Raw genomic sequence first — 20348 nt, 5'->3', positions numbered from 1 at the left:
AACCTTCCAGGCTGAAGCGATCCTCCCATCTCAACTTCCCACGTGGCTGAGACTATAGGTGCTTGCCACTATGCCCAACTAATATTTGGAATTTTCCTATATGTGGATTCCAGAGGGGTGACAGCGAAACGTGAGTAAGCATGGATTTTGGTATATGCAGAGATGGGGGGCTGGAACTAATTCTGTATACTGAGGGACGACTGTATATGTTTTTACAATTACGCTGTAGGATACATACTGTTGCATAGCCTTGAAAATAATAATTTTTAATTGAGTGGAATAATAATAATATTGATAAAAGTAGCAGCTGGCCAGGTGTGGTGGCTCACACTGGTAATCGCAACACTTTGGGAGGCTGAGGCAGGAGGATGGCTTGAGGCCAAGAGTTTGCGATAGGCCTTGGAAACAAAGGGAGTCACCATCCCTACAGAAAAATACATGAATTGGCCGGGCGCGGTGGCTCACGCCTGTAGTCCCAGCACTTTGGGAGGCCGAGGCGGGCGGATCACGAGGTCAGGAGATCGAGACCATCCTGGCTAACATGGTGAAACCCCGTCTCTACTAAAAATACAAAAAATTAGCCGGGCGTGGTGGCGGGCGCCTGTAGTCCCAGCTACTTGGGAGGCTGAGGCAGGAGAATGGCGTGGACCCGGGAGGCGGAGCTTGCAGTGAGCCGGGATCGCGCCACTGCACTCCAGCCTGGGCGACAGAGCGAGACTCCGTCTCAAAAAAAAAAAAAAAAAAAAAAAAAAAAAAGAAAAATACATGAATTAGCCTAGTGTGGTGGCATGTTCCTGTAGTCCCAGCTACTTGGGAGGCTGAGCTGGGAGGATCACTTGAGCCCAGGGAGGCTGAGACTGCAGTGAGTCATGATCAGGCCTCTGCACTCCAGCCTCAGTGACAGAGTGAGACCCTGTCTCAGAACAACAAAAAAGTAGCAGCTAACATCAACTGACCTTTTACCAGGTGCCTATTGATACCATAGTTTAATTTCTTATAGCTGTTTCTTATTTCACTTACCAACTCTGTCTTCAGTTACTCCCCAGATTTTTACTGTGTTTGTACAGATGACCTTTTGTTGAGATTGAATTGTCTCCCCAGAAGTAAGATTACTGTGAGTCATGGTGAATGGACATTCTCCTTACCCTTGATGTAAATGGACAAGGTTTTGGGTGCCTCCCAGCTATAATCTTAGCACTTTGGGAGGCTAAGAGAGGAGGATTGCTTGAGGCCAAGAGTTGGAGGAGGCAGTATGGCAGTATGGTGAGACCCTGTCTCTATTATTTTAAAAAATTGACAAGCTTTACCCTGGAAGGCTTATACACAATTTAAACACCCCTCATAGTATAAGAAAGTGCCCATTTCACTGCACCTTTGCCAGCACAGGGTATTATAATTTAGTAAGTCATTTTTTGTTTGATTATTTTAAATAGATAAAAGACCTCATATTACTTTACTTGTCACATTTCAACATCTTCCCTTAGCTTATTAGCTCTATTTCTTTTCTGTCTGTAAATGGTTGTTGTTGTTTTGTTCTTTGAGACAGGGTCTTGCTCTGTCACCAGGCTGGACTGTAGTGGCATAATCATGCCTCACCGCAGCCTTGACCTCCCAGGCTCAAACTTCAGCATTCCGAGTAGCTGGGACTACAAGTGTGCACCACCACTCCCAGCTAATTTTTTTCTTTTTTTGGATAGAGACAGGGTCTCACTGTGTTGCCCAGACCGGTCTCTAGCTCCTGGCCTTAAGCAATCCTCCTGCATTAGCTTCTCAAATTGCTGGAATTTCAGGCATGAGCCACCATGCCTGGCCTGGGCTAGTCCTATATTCTCTAGAGTTCTCTTTACTTTGTGCTAGCCAGTCTCTCATTATGCTATTCACCTGTTATAATGAATAATTCTCTGTATTAAATTTTACCACTTTAAACTTTTGAGCGGTTTATGCTTCCTGATTGGACTCTGACTAATATGTTAGGAAGGGTCCCAGGAGATAAACCCACACAGATGGGATTTGGGCATAGGTTTGGTTTCCCAGGGGGCAGTGCTGAGCTCTTTGCCAGTGGGAAATGGGATGCTGGTGATTTCCAGGAAGTGACCTCACAATGACTCAAGCTACCACTTACTGTTGATTGTGACGAAATGCCAGCTGAGGCACATGCCTTGGGAGCTAAGTGGTTGCTGCACTTGACCACTGTGAAGACTGGTGTGGGAAGGGTCGTTTTGGATGCACTTGAGCAGGGATCCCCAAACCCTGAGCCATGGAGCCGTAAGGAGCCACACAGCAGGAGGTGAGTGGTGTCGAGTGAGGGAGTGAGGGAAGCTTCGTCTGTATTTACAGCCACTCCCCTTTGCTCACATTCCCGCCTGAGCTCCACCTTCTCAGATGAGCAGCAGCATTAGATTCTCATAGGAGAACGCACCCTGTTGTGAACCGTGCATGTGAGGGATCTAGGTTGCGCTGTCCTTATGAGAATCTAATACCTATTGATCTGTCACTTTCTCCCATCACGCTCAGGTGGGACCATCCAGTTGCAGGAAAACAAGCTTAACACGCCCACTGATTCTACATTATGGTGAGTTGTATAATTATTTTATTATATATTACAGTGTAATAATGGAAATAAAGTGCCTAATAAATGTAATGTGCTTAAATCTTTTGGCCCAACTCCTACCTCCCGGCAGCCTCTCCAGGCCCAGAACTTTCTCCAGTCAGCCTCCACAGACCAAGCTCATGACTCACAATGGCCTATTTAGGCCCATACCCTACCTCACGGCAGTCTCCGCAGATGAGGCTACTGCCTCACAACAGCCTCCACAGGCACAGCTCCACCGTTACAATGGCCTCTTTAGACCCAGCTCCTGCCTCCCAGCCTTCTCTCCAGGCCCTGAACTTCCTCAAGTCGACCTCACCAGGCCCAGCTCATGCTTCTTGGCAGCCTCTCCAGGCCCAGCTCCTGCATCTTGGCAGCCTCTCCAGGCCCAGCCTCTGCCTCCTGTCAGCCTCTACAGTCCCAACATCTGTCTCACAGCAGATTCTTCAGGCCCAGCATCTGCCTCACTGTGGACCACCCAAGCCAAGCTCCCAACCTTTCAGCAGCTTCTACACACCCAGCTCCTGCCACCCAGTGGCCTCTTTAGGCCAAGCTCATGCCTCACAAGGGCCTTTCCAGGCCCAACTTTTGTCTCATGGCAACCTTCCCTGGCCAGATTCCTGCCTGTCTCCCAGCAGCCTAGACAGGCCCAGGTCTTGCCTCACACTGGCCTGTCTACATCCAGCTCTTGCCTCACGGTGGCCTCTCCAGGCCCAGCTCCTGTCCCAGGACGTCATCTCCAGGCCCAAAACTTCCTCAAGTCAGCCTCTCTAGTCCCAACTGCTGCCTCCTGGTGGCCTATGAAGGCCCAAAATCTCCTCAAGTTGACCTCTCCAGGCCCAGCTCCTGCCTCCTGTCAGCATCTACAGGCCCAACCTCTGCCTCATGGGGGCTTCTCCAGGCCCAGCTCTTCCTCTGGGCTGAGTCTACAGGCACAACTGCTGCCTCACAACAGCCTTTTTTGGCCCAGTTCCTGTCCAGCTCACAGCGGCCAATGTAGGCCCAAAACTTCCTCAAGTCAAACTCTCCAGGCCCGCCTTCCGCTTCGCGGTGGCATGAACAGGCCCAGCTTTGACTTGAGAACAGCCTCTGCAGGCCGTGCTCTTGCCTCCCAGGGGCTTCTCCAGGCCCAGCTCTTGCCTCATGGCGGCTGCCCCAGGCCAAGTTTCTGCCTGCCTGCCAGCAGCCTCAACAGGCACAGCTCCTCCCTCACAGTGGCCCATTTAGGCCCAACTCATGACTGTCGGGCCATTTCCAGGCCTAGTGCCTGCCTCCTGGCTGACTCTTGAAGCCCAAAACTTCCTCAAATCAGCCTTTTGCCCAACTTCTGTCTACTGTCGGACTCTACAGGCCAGCCTCTGCCTCACAGTGGACCCTCCAGACCCAGATGGTGTCTCACTGTGGCATCCTCAGGCGAAGCTCCTGCCTTTCGGCAGCCTCTACGGGCCCAGCTCCTGCCTTGCAATGGCCTCTTTAGGCCAAGCTCATGCCCCACGGCGACTTTTCCAGGCACAGCTTTTGCCTTTTGCAGCCTGTCCAGGCCCAGAATGTCCTTAACTCGGCATCTCCGGGACGAGCTCATCCTCCCAGTGCGTCTACAGGCCCGTCTCCTGCCTCACAACAACCTCCTTTGGCCCAACTCCTGCTGAGCTGCTTGGCAGTCTCTGTAGGCCACAGAGTTCTTAAAGTAAAGCTTTCCAGGCCCACCTTCGGCCTCCCAGCAGCCTCAGCAATCAAACTATTCCCTCACTGCGGCCACCGAAAGCCAAGTTTCTCCCTGCCTCACGGCATCCTCCGAAAACTGAGCATTTGCCTCACGGTGGCCTCCCCAGGCCATGAATCTGCCTGCCTCCCAGGCAGCTGCTGCCTCACAATGGTCTCTTTAGGCCCAAGTCATGCTAAAAGACGGACTCTCCAGGCACAGCTCTTGCCTCCTGGCAGGCTCTGCAGGCCCAAATTCTCCAAAAGTTGGCCTCTCCTAACTCAGCTCCTGCCTCATGTCGGCTTACACAGGCCCAGACTCTTACCACACAGTAGACCCTCCAGGCCCACCACTTGCCTGAGCATAGCCTCCTAAGGCCAAGCTCCTGCCTTTTGGCAGCTTCTACAGGCCCAGCTCCTGCCTCGCAATTGCCTTTGTAGGCCAAGATCATGCCGCGAAGTGGCCTTTCCTAGCCTAACTTTTGCTTTTTGACACATACTCCAGTCCCAAAACTTCCTCCAGTCAGCCGGTCCAGGCCAAGCTCTTCCTCCCAACGGCTTCTGCAGGCCAAAATCGTCCTGAAGTCACCCTCTGCAGGCCTAGCTCCTGCCTCCAAGTGCTGTGTAGGCCAAGCTAATGCCTCACAGCACACTTCCAGGCTGAGCGTTTCCTTTTGTGCATCCTCTCCAAGCCCTGAACTTACTCCAGTTGGCCTCTCCAGACCAAGCTCTCCCTCCCAGTGGCCTCTACAGGCCAAAACTGTCCTCAAGTCAGCCTCTCCAGGGCCAACTCCTAGCTACCGGTGGCTTCTGCAGGCCAAAATCGACCTCAAGTCAGCCTCTTCACACCCAGCTCTTGCCTCTAAGTGGCCTCTCCAGGAGCAAAACTTCCTCAAGTCGGCCTCTCCAGGCCCAGCCTCCTGCTTCCCAAGGGCATGTACAGGCCCAGCCTCTGCCTCACAGCAGACACTCCACGCCCAGCTCTTCCCTGTCTGCTGCCTCTCCAGTCCAAAGCTGCTCCTGCCTTTCGGCAACTTGTACAGGCCCAGCTCCTCCCTCACGGTGGCCTCTTTTCGCCCAACTCATGCCTCTTGCAACCTGCCCAAGTGTCAGCTCCTGCCTCACACTGGCCTGTTGAGGCTCAGCTCATGCCTCTGGTGGCCTCAACGGGCCCAGCCCCTGCCTGTCAGCGGCCTCTACAGGCCCGGCCTCTACCTCACAGTGGGCTCTCCAGGCCCACCTCTTTCTCACCGTGGCCTCCTGGGGCAATGCTCCCCGCTCTCGGGAGCCTCTGCGGGCCCAGCTCCTGCCTCCCAGTGGCCTCTGTAGGCCAAGCCCGTGCCTCAGGGCAGCCTTTCCAGGCCTAGCGTTTGCTGCTTTGCATCCTCTCCAGGCTCTGGACTTCCTCCAGTCGGCCTCTCCAGGCCCAGCTCTTCCTCTCGGCGGCCTCTGCAGGCCCAGACTGTCGTCAAGTCGGCCTGTCCAGGGCCAGCTCCAGCCTCCCGGCGCCCTCTGCAGGCCCAAGTCGTCCTCAAGTCGGCCTCCCCAGGCCCAGCTCCGGCCTCTCGGCGGCCGCTCCGGGTGCAAAAGTTCCTCGAGTCAGCCTCTCCAGGCCCAGCTCCTCCTGCCTCCCAGTGGCCTCTTTTGGCCCAGCCCAGCTCATGCCTCCCGGCGGCCTTCCCGGCCTCCTGCCTCCTGAAGGCCTGCACAGGCCCAGCCTCAGCCTCACAGCGGACTCTCCACGCCCAGCTAGCTCTCGCCTCACTACAGCCTCCTGAGTCCAAAGCTCCTGCCTCTCGGCCGCTTCGGCAGGCCCAGCTCCCGCCTGCCAGTGGCCTCTTCAGGCCCATGGGGCTCATTCCTCACAACGGCCTTTCTAGGCCCAGTTTTTCCCTTCCGGCGGCCTCTCCGGGCCCAGAACCTCCTCAAGTCGGCCTCTCCAGACCCACTTGCAGCCTCCCGGCGTCCTCTCCGGGCCCAGCTCTTCCTCCCGGCTGCGTCTCCAGGCCCGACTGCTGCCTCCCAACAACCTCTTTGGACTCAGCGCCTGCCCATCTCCTGGCGGCCTTGGTCGGCCCACAGCTTCCTCAAGCCAAGCTCCCCAGGCCCAGGTCAGGCCTCACGGTGGCCTCTCCAGGATCAGCTCCTGCCCTCCGATGGCGTCTCCAGGCCCCAAATGGTCTCCGGTCGGTGGGCTCCTCCACGCCCAGCTTGGGCCTCCCGGTGACCTCTGCAGGCCCAAGTCGTCCTGAAGTCGGCGTCTCCCGGCCCTGCCTCCCAGCAAGTAAGCAAGCCCTTTTGGCTCAACTCCTGCCCAGCTCCCAGCCGCCTTTGTAGGCCCCGAACTTTCTCCAGCCAAGCTCTTCGGGCCCACCTACTGCCTCTCGGTGGCCTGTACAGGCCCAGCTTTGGCTGTAGAACAGCCTCTGCAGGTCCCGCTCTTGCCTCCCAGGGGCCTCTCCAGGCCCAGCTCTCGCCCCCACGGCAGCCTCCCGGGGACAAGTCCCTGCCTGCCTCCCAGCAGCCCGCGTGCGGCCCAGCTCCTCCCTCACGGTGGCCTGTTGATGCCCAACTCATGCCTCTGGCACCCTGCCCAGAGGCGTGAGTCCCTGCCTCACACCGACCCCTCCCACGCTGAGGAAGGTCGGCATGAGCCCCTTGCCTCACACCGGCCCCTCCCACGCTGAGAGAGGTCGGCGTGAGCCCCTTGCCTCACACCGGCCCCTCCCATGCTGACCCCTTGCCTCACACCGGCCCCTCCCATGCTGACCCCTTGCCTCACACCGGCCCCTCCCACGCTGACCCCTTGCCTCACACCGGCCCCTCCCACGCTGACCCCTTGCCTCACACCGGCCCCTCCCACGCTGACCCCTTGCCTCACACCAGCCCCTCCCATGCTGACCCCTTGCCTCACACGGGCCCCTCCCACGCTGACCCCTTGCCTCACACGGGCCCCTCCCACGCTGACCCCTTGCCTCACACTGGCCCCTCCCACGCGGAGAGAGGTCAGCGTGAGCCCCTGCCTCAACAGGCCACCGTGAGGGAGGAGCAGGACTGCACGCAGGCTGCCGGGAGCAGGCAGGGACTTGGCCCCGAGAGGCTGCGGTGGGGCGAGAGCTGGGCCTGGAGACGCCCCTGGGAGGCAACAGCGGGGCCTGCAGATGCTCTTCTGCTGCCAGAGCTGGGACTCTACAGGCCACTGGGAGGCAGTATGTGGGCCTGAAGAGCTTGGCTGCAGAAACTTCGGGGTCTACAAACACCGGCGGGAGCTGAGCCAAAAGAGCTTGCTTGCTGGGAGGCAGGAGCTGGGCCGAGAGATGCAGCCAGGAGGAACAGCTGGGCCTGCAGAGGCCACCATGCGGGAGGCAGAGGCCGGGCCTCCTCAAGTCGGCCTCTCCAGACTCACTTGCAGCCTCCCGGCATCCTCTCCGGGCCCAGCTCTTCCTCCCGGCTGCGTCTCCAGGCCCGACTGCTGCCTCCCAACAACCTTTTTGGACTCAGCGCCTGCCCATCTCCTGGCGGCCTTGGTCGGCCCACAGCTTCCTGAAGCCAAGCTCCCCAGGCCCAGGTCAGGCCTCACGGTGGCCTCTCCAGGATCAGCTCCTGCCCTCCAATGGCGTCTCCAGGCCCCAAATGGTCTCCGGTCGGTGGGCTCCTCCACGCCCAGCTTGGGCCTCCTGGCGACCTCTGCAGGCCCAAGTCGTCCTGAAGTCGGCGTCTCCCGGCCCTGCCTCCCAGCAAGTAAGCAAGCTCTTTTGGCTCAACTCCTGCCCAGCTCCCAGCCGCCTTTGTAGGCCCCGAACTTTCTCGAGCCAAGCTCTTCGGGCCCACCTACTGCCTCCCGGTGGCCTGTACAGGCCCAGCTCTGGCTGTAGAACAGCCTCTGCAGGCCCCGCTCTTGCCTCCCAGGGGCCTCTCCAGGCCCAGCTCTCGCCCCCACGGCAGCCTCCCGGGGCCAAGTCCCTGCCTGCCTCCCGGCAGCCCGCGTGCGGCCCAGTTCCCCCCTCACGGTGGCCTGTTGATGCCCAACTCATGCCTCTGGCACCCTGCCCAGAAGCGTGAGTCCCTGCCTCACACCGACCCCTCCCACGCAGAGAGAGGTCAGCGTGAGCCCCTTGCCTCACACCGGCCCCTCCCACGCCGAGAGAGGTCAGCATGAGCCCTTGCCTCCCACCGGCCCCTCCCACGCTGAGAGAGGTCCGCATGAGCCCCTTGCCTCACACTGGCCCCTCCCACGCTGACCCCTTGCCTCACACCGGCCCCTCCCATGCCGAGAGAGGTCAGCGTGAGCCCTTGCCTCACACCGGCCCCTCCCACGCTGAGAGAGGTCCGCATGAGCCCCTTGCCTCACACTGGCCCCTCCCACGCTGACAGAGGTCGGTGTGAGCCCCTTGCTTCACACTGGCCCCTCCCACGCAGAGAGAGGTCAGCGTGACCCCTTGCCTCACACCGGCCCCTCCCACGCTGAGAGGTGGGCGTGAGCCCCTTGCCTCACACTGGCCCCTCCCACACTGACCCCTTGCCTCACACCGGCCCCTCCCACGCAGAGAGAGGTCAGCGTGAGCCCCTGCCTCAACAGGCCACTGTGAGGGAGGAGCAGGACTGCACGCAGGCTGCCGGGAGCAGGCAGGGACTTGGCCCCGGGAAGCCGCGGTGGGGCGAGAGCTGGGCCTGGAGACGCCCCTGGGAGGCAACAGCGGGGCCTGCAGATGCTCTTCTGCTGCCAGAGCTGGGACTCTACAGGCCACTGGGAGGCAGGATGTGGGCCTGAAGAGCTTGGCTGCAGAAACTTCGGGGTCTACAAACGCCGGCGGGAGCTGAGCCAAAAGAGCTTGCTTGCTGGGAGGCAGGAGCTGGGCCGAGAGATGCAGCCAGGAGGAACAGCTGGGCCTGCAGAGGCCGCCATGAGGGAGGCAGAGGCCGGGCCTCCTCAAGTCAGCCTCTCCAGACCCACTTGCAGCCTCCCGGCGTCCTCTCCGGGCCCAGCTCTTCCTCCCGGCTGCATCTCCAGGCCCGACTCCGGCCTCCCAACAATGTCTTTGGACTCAGCTCCCGCCCAGCTCCCAGTGGCCCTGGTAGGCCCACAACTTCCTGAAGCCAAGCTCCCCAGGCCCAGGTCAGGCCTCACGGTGGCCTCGCCAGGCTCAGCTCCTGCCCTCCGACGGCATCTCCAGGCCCCAAACGGCCTCCGGTCGGTGGGCTCCTCTAGGCCCAGCTTGGGCCTCCCGGCGACCTCTGCAGGCCTAAATCGTGCTGAAGTCGGCCTCTCCAGGCCCAGCTCCAGCCTCCCGGCGGCCTCTGCAGGCCTAAGTCGTCCTTAAGTTGGCCTGGAAGTGGGCCTGGAAGAGCTGCAAGTTGGCCTCCCCGGGCCCAGCTCCGTCCTCTCGGCGGCCTCTCCCGGTGCAAAACTTCCTCGAGTCAGCCTCTCCAGGCCCAGCTTCTCCTGCCTCCCAGTGGCCTCTTTCGGCCCAGCCCAGCTCGTGGCTCTCAGTGGCCTTCCCAGGCCCCGCTTTTGACTTTTGGTGGCCTCTTCAGGCCCAGAACTTGACCTCCAGTCGGCCTTTGCAGGCCTGGCTTCCTGCCTCTCGAAGGCCTGCACAGGCCCAGCCTCAGCCTCACAGTGGACTCTCCACGCCCAGCTAGCTCTCGCCTCACTGCGGCCTCCCCAGTCCAAAGCTCCTGCCTTTCGGCCGCTTTGGCAGTCCCAGCTCCTGCCTGCCAGTGGCCTCTTTAGGCCCAGCTCATTCCTCACAACGGCCTTTCCAGGCCCCGTTTTTCTTGGCCTCTAATTTGTTTATCTTTTGTGTATAAATCTCAAAATATGGAATTTTGGAATATTTCTACCATTATATAAATATTTTTAAAGGTAATGTATTTGGAGTGAGTTTCTGCACCAAGCCCGAATTTTTTATTTTATTTTCCTTATTATTTGGTGTTAAACAGGTTTAATGACAGTCATGGCAACTTTTTGGCACAATGAAAAATACCGCCCATGATCAACGTGTTCTGTTCTGGGGAAGGGGGCAAAGGCAGGGTGAATCACTTTCTTAAAAAGTACAGCTCAAGTTGGGAGTGCAGAGGGAATGGGGAGAAAACCCTCCCGCTGCCTTTGTCGAAGTGCAGGAGCCCCCGCCCCCATACTCACCTGAGTCCAGCCCCTCTGGGGAAAGAAGGGGTGCATGAACTCCCCCTAGTCCACAGGCGCCTCCCTGTGGCCCAAGGCCCTCTTCACACTCCATCTTGTAGCCCCAGCAGGAGCTATTTTCCGAAAAGTGAAAAGCTCTGAAGGTCCCACACTTCATGGTATGTACAGGGGTTTGGAGGAGGGAAACTGCCCAGCTTTCCCCCGGCACAGCTGCAGGGCTAGGGGGTATATATAAGAGGAGCAGGCCTTGGCCAGGTGTGGTGGCTCACACCTGTAATCCCAGCACTTTGGGAGGTGGAGGCAGGTGGATCACGATGTCAGGAGATCGAAATCAGCCTGGCCAAGATGATGAAGCCCTGTCTGTACTAAAAATACAAAAATTAGCCGGACGTGGTAGCATGCACCTGTAATCCCAGCTACCTGGAAGGCTGAGGCAGGAGAATGGCGTGAACCCGGCAGGAATAGGTTGCAGTGAGCCAAGATTGCACCACTGCACTCCAGCCTGGGCGACAGAGCAAGACTCCGTCTCAAAAGAAAAAAGAGAGGCAGGCCTTATTCCGTCCCAAACTGAAAGGATTAAATGGCTTTACCCAGGAGAAGATAACCATCCTGCCCTCCATTGCTACCCCCACATACTGTCCATGTTCTCAGGGGGTACTGTGAGTCCTGGGATCTTCTTTGGGGTCGCCCACCTGCCTGTGGTAGTTATGGAGGGACCCAGGTGTTGAAGCAGGGCTAGGGTGTCCCCTTCCAGCCAGGCTGTCAAGGTCCCACCTCTGGGGCAGAGGCAGTGGCAGGGCAGCCAGGGTTGCGCCAGAGCCTGAGCAGGGTGAGGTGGGGTCAGACAGGGCTGGGAGTCAGGGCAGGGGCAGCAGCAGTGGACCCGCTATGCACACGTCTTCTCCAAGGTTTGTGTGCAGAACATCCTGCTCATGCTTCCCCAGCAGCTTCAGTTGGCACCTGCCGCAGTCCAGCCTCTGGGACCCATGCAGCGGCTCCCAGCGGCCCTGCACCCACCACCAGCATCCGTTTCACCTGCAGTTGAAGATCCGTGAGGTGCCCAGAAGATCATGCAGTCATCAGTCCCACGGAGCAGCCCCCGAGGCTGAGGCTCCTCCCACTGGACCGCCCCCCAACTGGCACCACTGCTGCCCCTGCCCCTACTCTCAGCCTCACGTGACTCTTGGGCAGAGGCAGTGGTGGGGCAGCCAGGGCAGCGTCAGAGTCTAGCCAGGTGAGGTGGGGTCAGGACCCCCACAGGGCTGGGAGTCAGGGCAGGGGCAGAAGAAACCTTGGAGGGGAGGATGTGTGCATAGTGGGCCTGGAGGGCGGCTGTGGCCTAGTGGACAGGAAGAAGCAGTGGGCCTGGAAGAGCTGCATGATCAGGGCCGGCACTGGTCCAGGGCACGTGCAGTGAAGAGGACACCGCCTTCTCGGTCTCCGGTTCCCTGAGCCCGTCCTCGGCTTCTCCCACCTGTACAGGCAAAGGGGAAGCTGTCCCCATCACACATGGCACACTTGGGGGTGTTGGGCTTTGGGCTGCAGCTGGAGCATCTTCTCATCTTGCATTTGAGCGTGGTGGGGTCCTCCAGTGCGGGATCCATGTCCGTGGGGTTCCCTCTGCCCCGACCCCCAAAGCCCAGTCAGTTTCTCCTCTTCAGGCTCTGCCCCCCGGGTGGCTCAGCCCAGCTCCTGCCTAGGAAAGCCTTAGTGTTGGGAGGGACCGTGATGACTGAGGGGCCTGGTAGCTCCAGGTCGCCCACACTTTCAGGTCTCTTGCACCAGAAGGTGGCAGGATCCATTGGGAGGAAACAGGTCGCCTTGGAAGGCATCCCTGGGCCCCCATCCCCAGGGGTAGGGGCCATAGGGGGCCCGCTCTGCTGCCCTGACCAGATTCCTGGGCTTTGAAGGCTCCTGGGCCCAGTAAGGAGGTGGGTGCCAAGGTTGAGGAGGAAGCATAGGAGTGTGTAGGAGGAGGACGGGGTGGGACCATAGACTTTGCCAAAAACTGCAGGTGGATCGGGGGACCCTGGGGGCTCAGGATCGAGCAAGGGGTGGCAGGAGTAAAGGAAGAAGGAATGACAGGTGCCAATACCTTCCCACCAAAGCCCTTGTTGCCCTCTGGCTCCTCCCCAGAGTCGTCCCCACTCTCAGTCGGTCACCCACTCCTTGAACTTGAGATCAGTGTCAGTGGTGCTAAAGCCGTCATCAGCAATGACATCATCACCCCCTCCTCCTCATGGATGACCATGGGCTCCTCGTCACTCGCTGTGTCCTCACTGGCCATGTGCTGGGAATGAGCAGCTCAGGTGGGCAGCAGCAGGGCTGCCCACTGGTCACCTCCCTCACCAGGGGCTGCAAAGTGGCCTGGAGCTCCATGCTGAGTAGAAGGCTTTGGGCCAGAGTATGATGCAGTGCCAGACACCACCTGTGTCAGTTCCTGTAGTGCCTGACGGTCTATTTCCCTGCCGTCCAGGCTGAGTACCCCGCTGTGGGAGAAGGCTTGGGCCAGGCTGAGCCAGGTTCCCTGACTGTGTGCAGCCGTCCTGCCCCACAGAAGCTGCTCCTTGGTATCCGAGCTCTGGAATGTCTGGGCCACAACTGACAGGCGTTCAGAGGACACCCCAGGGGCAGTGGCAGTGCCCGTCTCTGATATGCTCTGCTCCCATGAGCCCTTGTACACTCCTGCTAGCCCCTGGCTTGTGGGCTTGGCCTCTGAGCTGGACTTCTTTCGGTCCTTGTTGCAAGTGGGCCACCTTCACCTGGAAGGCCAGGTCTGGTACTTCTGCATCTCATTGGGCCCCAGGGTGTACCACCGCTCGCTCAGGATCTGGCTGACGGTCCGGTTATCCTGGTTGGGGTGACCCTGGTGCGCCCTGCCAGGGCCTAGTGCCGCTTGCTGAAGATCATGAACGCCACTCATGGGCCACCGGATATGGTCCTTGTCCCATTTGTTGGGGCTGCGTCCATCCTTCTCAGAAGATGAGTCCTGTTCCTTGCGCAGTGCACTGAGGGACTGGGCCTGACATCATCTGAGTGGTGGAGGCAACTGGGTGTCAGGAGACATGACAGAGAGGAAAGCAACATTGTGGTCATTCTCTGTCTCACTGTCCAGCAGGGACTCCCCTGAGGGGCCCAGGGCTCCTCCTCCATGGTAGGAGGTGGGCTTTTACCAGGTTCCACCACCCCCAAAGTGTGTGGGGTTCTGGGCCCTGGGCTTTCAGGGCAGGTGGCTTCAGGGGGCCGCCCAGGGTCAGCACTCCCTGTCCCACCTGGTGGACACTCGTGAGCAACAGCTGCCAACTTGGCAGGTTCTTTGCTCTGGTTGGAGGCCACTGAGTGACTGGCAGGTTGCTGGGCCTCACGCGGCTGCAGGGAGGGGTCAGGAAGGGGACAGAGTACCAGGAGAACACAGCCACAGAACAAGGTTCCACATTCCTCCACACAAACATGCTGACGCCACCGGACGCCTCGCTGGACGCAGACATCAGGGGCCTGTGGGCCAAGTACATGGTCTGGGCAGGGGGTTCCTGGCAGGGGCTCACACCTCCTCAGCTCCCTCCTCAGCCAAGGCAGCTTGGACCCACGGAATGGGGGATGGGAGGGGAGCACGAGGCCAGGCCTCAAGTTTTTTGTTTTTTTTTTTTTGAGATGCAGTTTGGCAGGCTGGAGTGCAGTGGTGCGATCTCAGCTCACTGAAACCTCCACTTCCTGGGTTCAAGCAATTCTCCGGCCTCAGCCTCCCAAGTATATGCACATTTACTGCTGAATATTATATATTTTCTTATGCTTTCATGTGATTAATTAGCATTCTTTTTTTTTTCCTTTTTGAGACAGAGTGTTGCTCTGTCACCCAGGCTGGAGGGCAGTGGTGTGATCTCGGCTCACTGCAACCTCCGCCTCATGGTTTAATTGATTCTCCTGCCTCAGCCCCCTGAGTAGTTGGGATTACAGGCACCCGCCACCACACCTGGCTAATTTTTTGTATTTTCAGAAGGCGTGGGTTTTTGCCACGTTGGCCTGGCTGGTCTTGACCTCCTGACCTCAAGTGATCCACCCTCCTCGGCCTCCCAAAATGCTGGGATTACAGGCATGAGCCACCATACCCAGCTGCTTTCTTTCATTTTTACTTGAAAAACTCCGTTAAGCATTTCTTTTAAAGTAGACCTAGTGGTGGCTCATGCCTATAATCCCAGCACTCTGGGAGGCCAAGGTTTCAGGATCGCTTGAGCCCAGGAGTTCAAGACCAGCCTGGGTAACATAATGAGACACCATCTCTACAAAAAATGCAAAAATTAGCTGAGCATGGTGGCACGCACCTGTAGTCCCAGCTACTTGGGATGCTGAGGTGGGAGGATCACTTGAGCCCGGGAAGTCACAGCTGCAGTGAGCCATGATCGCACCACTGCACTCCAGCCTGAACAACAGTGTGAGACCCTGTTTTTTATTTTTTATTTTTTTATTTATTTTTTAAAGACATAGGTAGCTAGAGTAATACAGAGATGAAAGGGAGAGTATTCACACATGCTTCTTAAAATAGAAATTACTAAATTTTATTTTACTTAAAGTTAACAGAAAATGACATATTTGTGAAATTAAAGAAGTTTTTTTTACTACTAGAGATATTAATTCCCAAAAGAGTCATTTAACATGAAGAAAAATGATTATGTTTATAAAAACTACTAAATGGGCATGTTTCACAGCACACATACAGACATACACAGACAGCCACACACACACAACTCTTAAGAGTGATTCTGTGTTTTCTAGGGGAGAAAATATATTTTATTTTCTTGCCCTCATAGGTTCTTAGGTGAAATAGCCTCCTAAAAATAAAAGTCAGCAGAAGTTTGGCTGGGCACTGTGGCTCATGCCTGTAATCCTGGCAATTTGGGAGGCTGAGACGGGTGAATCACCTGAGGTCAGGAGTTTGAGACCAGACTGGACAACATGGTGAAACCCCATCTCTACTAAAAATACAGAAAGTAGCCAGGTGTGGTGGCAGGCGCCTGTAATCCCAGCTACTCAAGAGGCTGAGGCAGGAGAATCGCTTGGACCTGGGAGGCAGAGGTTGCAGTGAGCCAAGATCGTGCCTCTGCACTCCAGACTGGGCAACAGAGCAAGACTCCATGTCAAAAAAAAAAAAAAGTTTATTGAGTCATTGCTGTACCCATCATACAGGAAAGGCTTCTCAGTTCAAGTGGATTTCTTTCTCAAGGCAGTGGCTTAGGGGCCTTGCTTAAATAGTATTTTAACAAAGACTCATAAATCCTATAGTGACAAGAGAGCATCTTCAGGTTTCCAAAAGGTGGGAAAATGTCGGAAGGTTAATAATCTATGGGAAGAGAAAAGTCTCTGGCGCTTTTGTCTATGAGCTTATAAGCAAACCCTTCAAATCCTATCTTTAGGTGGGAAAGGCAGAGAGGAGGCAGGAAAACCTTTTGTCTTTGTAAATTGCCGTCCTGCCATCAGGCAAGCGGAGGGAAGGGTAGAGTGTCCTCTGCCCTTTAATCTTCTTCAGCTCTACAATCCCTAGTATATTACAGAAGAATATTGGTTTCTTTCAGTTTTAACCACATATTTCCACTTTTAAAGCATCCATTGATATCCTGGTACATGGTAAAACTTTCTCTTTGATAGACTGCTGCAGATATCCAATTCCAAGAAGGTCTGTGAGGACTTCATCACTGTTACACTCTCTCCCACTACTCCCTTTTGCTCACCTCTTTTTTATTATTGCTTAGAATTCTTTTTCTTTTTTGGCTTATGGCTCTGATGTGGCTGGAAGGTGCACTCTCTTAGAAGAGGAGAAGGATAGCTTGAGAGTTAGTTAAGTCTCATAAGGCCAGTATCATACATATTGTATTAGTCTATTCTCATGCTGCTATGAAGAAATACCTGAGACTGGGCAATTTATAAAAGAAAGAAGTTTAATTGGCTCACAGTTCCACAGGGCTAGGGAGGCCTCAGGAAACTTACAATCATGGGAGAAGGGGAAGCAAACACGTCCTTCTTCACATGGCAGCAGCAAGGAGAAGTGCTGAGCAATGAGGGGAAAGCCCCTTATAAAACCATCAGATCTGGTGAGAACTCACTATCACCAGAACAGCATGGAGATAACAACCCTCATGATTCAATTACCTCCCACCAGGTCCCTCCCACCACACGTCGGGATTATGGGAACTACAATTCAAGATGAGATTTGGGTGGGGACACAGCCAAAGTATATCACCAAACCATATCATATTCAGCAGCTTTGAGGGAAATGCTATACATATTTATAAGGGAATTGGGTAAACACATATGTCACACACATCCCACATTTACTTTGAGACTGAGTTTTAGCATTAAAACGAGATGGAATTTGGCTCTTTACAACAAAAAGTGAACTACAGGATACACAGACAGTTCGTGCAAATCCTCTATAAGCTGCTGAAACTGGCCAAAAGCCTGCAGTAGCTTATCAGAAAAGAATGTTTGTGAGGCCCGTCCCCTGTCCAATCAGAGTTGTAGTGGTCTGGGTTGTAAATCAGAATTGATAGCTCCTATTGTTAGGGAGTTTAGCCAAAGGAATTTAGACATTTGCCATGCCAGCCAGGCCCTGAACCCTCTGCCCGTAGGTAACTTCATTTCCTGAAGCTTTGAGTGCAACTTAGTCGATAAAGTGGTGTCTATTTTGGTCTCTCAGATCACAAACTTTCTTTTCTTTTTTTCTTTTCTGTTTTTTTTTTTTTTTTTTTTTTGAGATTACTCAGGGATTACAGGCCTAAGCCACCACACCTGGCTTCAGATCATACTTTCTTCCATGCCATTAATTTGCTTTCAGCCTTGTTTAGTCTGTTTCTTGTTGCATCTAGTTAATTTATTACATTTGTAATGTGGAGACGTATGAGTCAGTACAAAGAAGTAAGAAAGTAAGAAAAAGTAAAAAAACCAAAAAAGCAGAACAAAGAGAAAGTCCAAAATGGTGACTATCTTCTGTCTGTGTATAAAAGACTGTGAAGTAGGGCACACCTCCATAAGAGAAGTCACAGGGAGCCATATTTATGTCCTTTGACTTGCTTTTTTCTTCTTCTTTTGTGTTTATTCCTCCTCTGCAAGTAAGTCAGTGCACTCAGGAGAGAGACCATTGGATAGGAGGGGGGAACAGGTGTTGTTCCTCTGGTGATCTTGGACATCAGATTATTTTTTTGCAACCTACAAAACTATAAAGTGAAGTTTTGGCAGTTCCTCAGAAAGTTACCAGTGGAGTTTCTTTTCTTTCTTTCTTTTTTTTTTTTTAAACAAGAAGTTTATTTAAACAACAAGACGCTTGACTTGAAGGGAAAACTATCTAGGTTTCTTTTTTTGTTTTAATTTGTCCCTACTTAAAGACAGATTGCCCTACATGTAACAGCTATGTACAAAAAAGTTATAAAATTGTCCTTGGTTTTACAATGATAAGTGAAAAACATTAAAATTCTGCAATTGAACAAGGTATGCAAGGATTTTTGTGTGTTTTTTTTGTTGTTAAAACAGTGAGAGCAAAATAACTTACTGGAATATAAAGAGCTGAATGAGCATGCCACTAATGGAGAAAGGGGGTATTTTCACAGAATCAGTACTTTTTCCCCATCCCGTCTCCACTTGATGTCAATCAAAACATACCATTGGCTGTTTAGTTAAAAAAAATGCAATATGCTTGTGCACATATACCAGTTATGTACAATAAAGGAATGGGGAAGGGGGAAATGAAAGAACAGAGAAAACCATATGGTAGTAGTCAGGATGTGGTGGAACCAAATTGCAGTTTTCTAATTGAGAATGTAATCTTGGTCTTTAAGGAACAGAGTTCTGGAGTAAAGAAGCAGGTTCCCTTTTCAGTAGACACCTCCCGTCTGCTGTTGGAACACATCAATTGTATCTTCATTCTCCATTTCCAACTGTGCAGGTGTGTCTGTTTCCTTGATTGGTTGCCCGTCGAATCGGAATCTGATCTGCCTCATTGACAATCCCTGTTGCTTACAATAGGCTTTCATTAGTTTACTAAGTGGTGTATGCCTCTTAATCTTAAACTGCACCACAGAACCATCCTGCCCCGCCACCTTCAAATTAGTATGATCGTTGTTCTCCGACTTGACTCCTTGGTTGGGCTTTTCGTCGGCCATGGCGAGCGCCGGTCTCCTCAGCTGCCACTTCACAAAAGAGGTACCAGGTCCGCACCAAACGAGCACACAAGCAGCACCAGGAGCGGCAGAAGGAGGCGGCAGTGGTGGGCGAGGATAGAGCTACCAGTCGGGTTTCATATGATCCAGAAATTCCATTCCTAGATAGTGTCAGGATAGTGTCAGTTTTTTTTTTTTTTTTTTTTTTTTTTTTTTTTTTTTTTTTTTTGAGATGGAGTCTAGCTCTGTTGCTCAGGCTGGAGTGCAGTGGCGGGATCTTAGCTCACGGTAACCTCGCCTCTCAGGTTCTAGCAATTCTTCTGCCTCAGCCTCCCAAGTAGCTGAGACTGCAGGTGTGTGCCACCACAGCCGTCTAATTTTTGTATTTTTAGTAGAGAAGGGGTTTCGCCATGTTGGCCAGGCTGGTCTTTAACTCCTGATCTCAGGAGATCCACCTGCTTCAGCCTCCCAAAGTGCTGGGATTACAGGTGTGAGCCGCTGCGCCCGGCCCCATACTGTCGGTTCTCATTATATGTAGTAATTTTGTTATAAAGTCCCAGCAAATACTGAACTAGCAAACACTGAACCATTGCTTTTAGGAGAAATTCTGGGTTAGGTTTCTGCAAGGCTTTGGTCACAATATTCCCTCAACTGATCAATACATAATCTTGTTTTATGTGTGTTTCTGTTTAAAGACAGTTTATTGGCCGGCTGGCGCCTGTAATCCCAGCACTTTGGGAGGCCGAGGCGAGTGGATCACGAGGTCAGGAGATCGAAACCATCCTGGCTAACACGGTGAAACCCCGTCTCTACTAAAAATACAAAAAATTAGCTGGGTTCACCGGTTCACGTCATTCTCCTGCCTCAGCCTCCCGAGTAGCTGGGACTACAGGTGCCCGCTACCATGCCAGGCTAAATTTTTGTATTTTTAGTAGAGACGGGGTTTCACCCTGTTAGCCAGGATGGTCTCGATCTCCTGACCTCGTGATCCGCCCGCCTCAGCCTTCCAAAGTGCTGGGATTACAGGCCTGAGCCACCGCGCCCGGCCTTTGTTTTTGTTTTGAGACGGAGTCTTGCTCTGTCACCCAGGCTGGAGTGCAGTGGCGCAATCTCGGCTCACTGCAAGCTCCGCCTCCCGGGTTCACGCCATTCTCCTGCCTCAGCCTCCCGAGTAGCTGGGACTACAGGCAGCTGCTACCACGCCCGGCTAATTTTTTGTATTTTTAGTAGAGATGGGGTTTCACCGTGTTAGCCAGGATGGTTTCGATCTCCTGACCTCGTGATCCGCCCGCCTCAGCCTCCCAAAGTGCTGGGATTACAGGCGTGAGCCACCGCGCCCGGCTGACCGTTTTTTAATATGCTTTTTAAAAATAAACAGTTTCCAATATCAATAAGTATATTTTTATAACACTACTTTGATGGCTGTGTAGATGTATGATAATTAATTGAAAGTTTCATATTGGATTATTTCTCTCCATTATTGATGATACTGTAAAGCATATTCTTACAGCTGAGTCTCTGCATGTATTCTTAATTACTTCCTTGGGGTAAATTGGTAGAAATGCTATTGCTGGGTCAAGCTTATACCCATTCATAGAGCTTTTGTTACATATGGTCAAATTCTTCTACAAGTTACTCTTAACTCTTTGTGGTTTCCCCTTCTGGGGAATGATTTCCAAACCACAGGGGTGGGCTCTGGTAGTTAAGTCTGCACTACAAAGCACTGGTCTGCTCATAGCTGATTGGTGGGCAGGGCTGCAGTCCCAAG

General features: G+C 54.1%; 1 protein-coding gene and 5 pseudogenes across 4 annotated transcripts, besides 1 other annotated feature; 4 read left to right on the top strand and 2 right to left on the bottom strand.

The window, feature by feature from the left end:
* Positions 1–11: 11 nt before the first annotated feature.
* Positions 12–4274, top strand: LOC101060341 (putative uncharacterized protein FLJ44672). Of its 4 annotated transcripts, XM_017012925.1 has the most exons (4): positions 12–130; positions 2088–2287; positions 2515–2572; positions 2682–4274. In XM_017012925.1, exons 2-4 carry the CDS (start codon positions 2224–2226, stop codon positions 3877–3879), a joined length of 1320 nt encoding a protein of 439 aa, XP_016868414.1. In that variant the 5' UTR covers positions 12–130; positions 2088–2223; the 3' UTR covers positions 3880–4274. The 4 variants fall into 4 exon arrangements, with proteins under 4 accessions (XP_016868414.1, XP_016868416.1, XP_005271850.1 ...); XM_017012927.1 differs by lacking the exon at positions 2088–2287 and having other exon boundaries at positions 2665–4274; XM_005271793.4 differs by lacking the exon at positions 2088–2287 and having other exon boundaries at positions 16–130.
* On the top strand, positions 4138–7018 carry LOC101928755 (putative uncharacterized protein FLJ44672; annotated as a pseudogene).
* LOC100419984 (uncharacterized) lies at positions 7199–8350 on the top strand (annotated as a pseudogene).
* Positions 8428–8927: an enhancer, noted in NCBI's record as "H3K4me1 hESC enhancer chr7:55809493-55809992 (GRCh37/hg19 assembly coordinates)". NCBI's record gives its function as "activates a minimal SCP1, AML or CMV promoter by ChIP-STARR-seq in naive H9 embryonic stem cells {active_cell/tissue: H9 hESC(naive)}" and the evidence as "EXISTENCE:reporter gene assay evidence [ECO:0000049][PMID:30033119]".
* LOC107986799 (putative uncharacterized protein FLJ44672) lies at positions 8587–10161 on the top strand (annotated as a pseudogene).
* On the bottom strand, positions 10224–13987 carry CICP11 (capicua transcriptional repressor pseudogene 11; annotated as a pseudogene).
* On the bottom strand, positions 17714–18703 carry SUMO2P3 (SUMO2 pseudogene 3; annotated as a pseudogene).

Source organism: Homo sapiens, chromosome 7 (assembly GCF_000001405.40).
Source record: "Homo sapiens chromosome 7, GRCh38.p14 Primary Assembly".
Classification (NCBI taxonomy): Eukaryota; Metazoa; Chordata; class Mammalia; order Primates; family Hominidae; genus Homo; species Homo sapiens.
The sequence above is the reverse complement of the archived record's forward strand: the minus strand, read 5'-3'. Positions and strand labels throughout refer to the sequence as shown.

What these genes read in the sequence shown, in the direction of transcription:
- LOC101060341 (XM_017012925.1), top strand. Translation starts at nt 2,224, where the DNA reads ATGCACTTGAGCAGGGATCCCCAAACCCTGAGCCATGGAGCCGTAAGG. An exon ending in AAGGAGCCACACAGCAGGAG is followed by an intron (nt 2,288 to 2,514) that starts GTGAGTGGTGTC and finishes CATCACGCTCAG; the next exon opens with GTGGGACCATCCAGTTGCAG. An exon ending in CCCACTGATTCTACATTATG is followed by an intron (nt 2,573 to 2,681) that starts GTGAGTTGTATA and finishes ACCTCCCGGCAG; the next exon opens with CCTCTCCAGGCCCAGAACTT.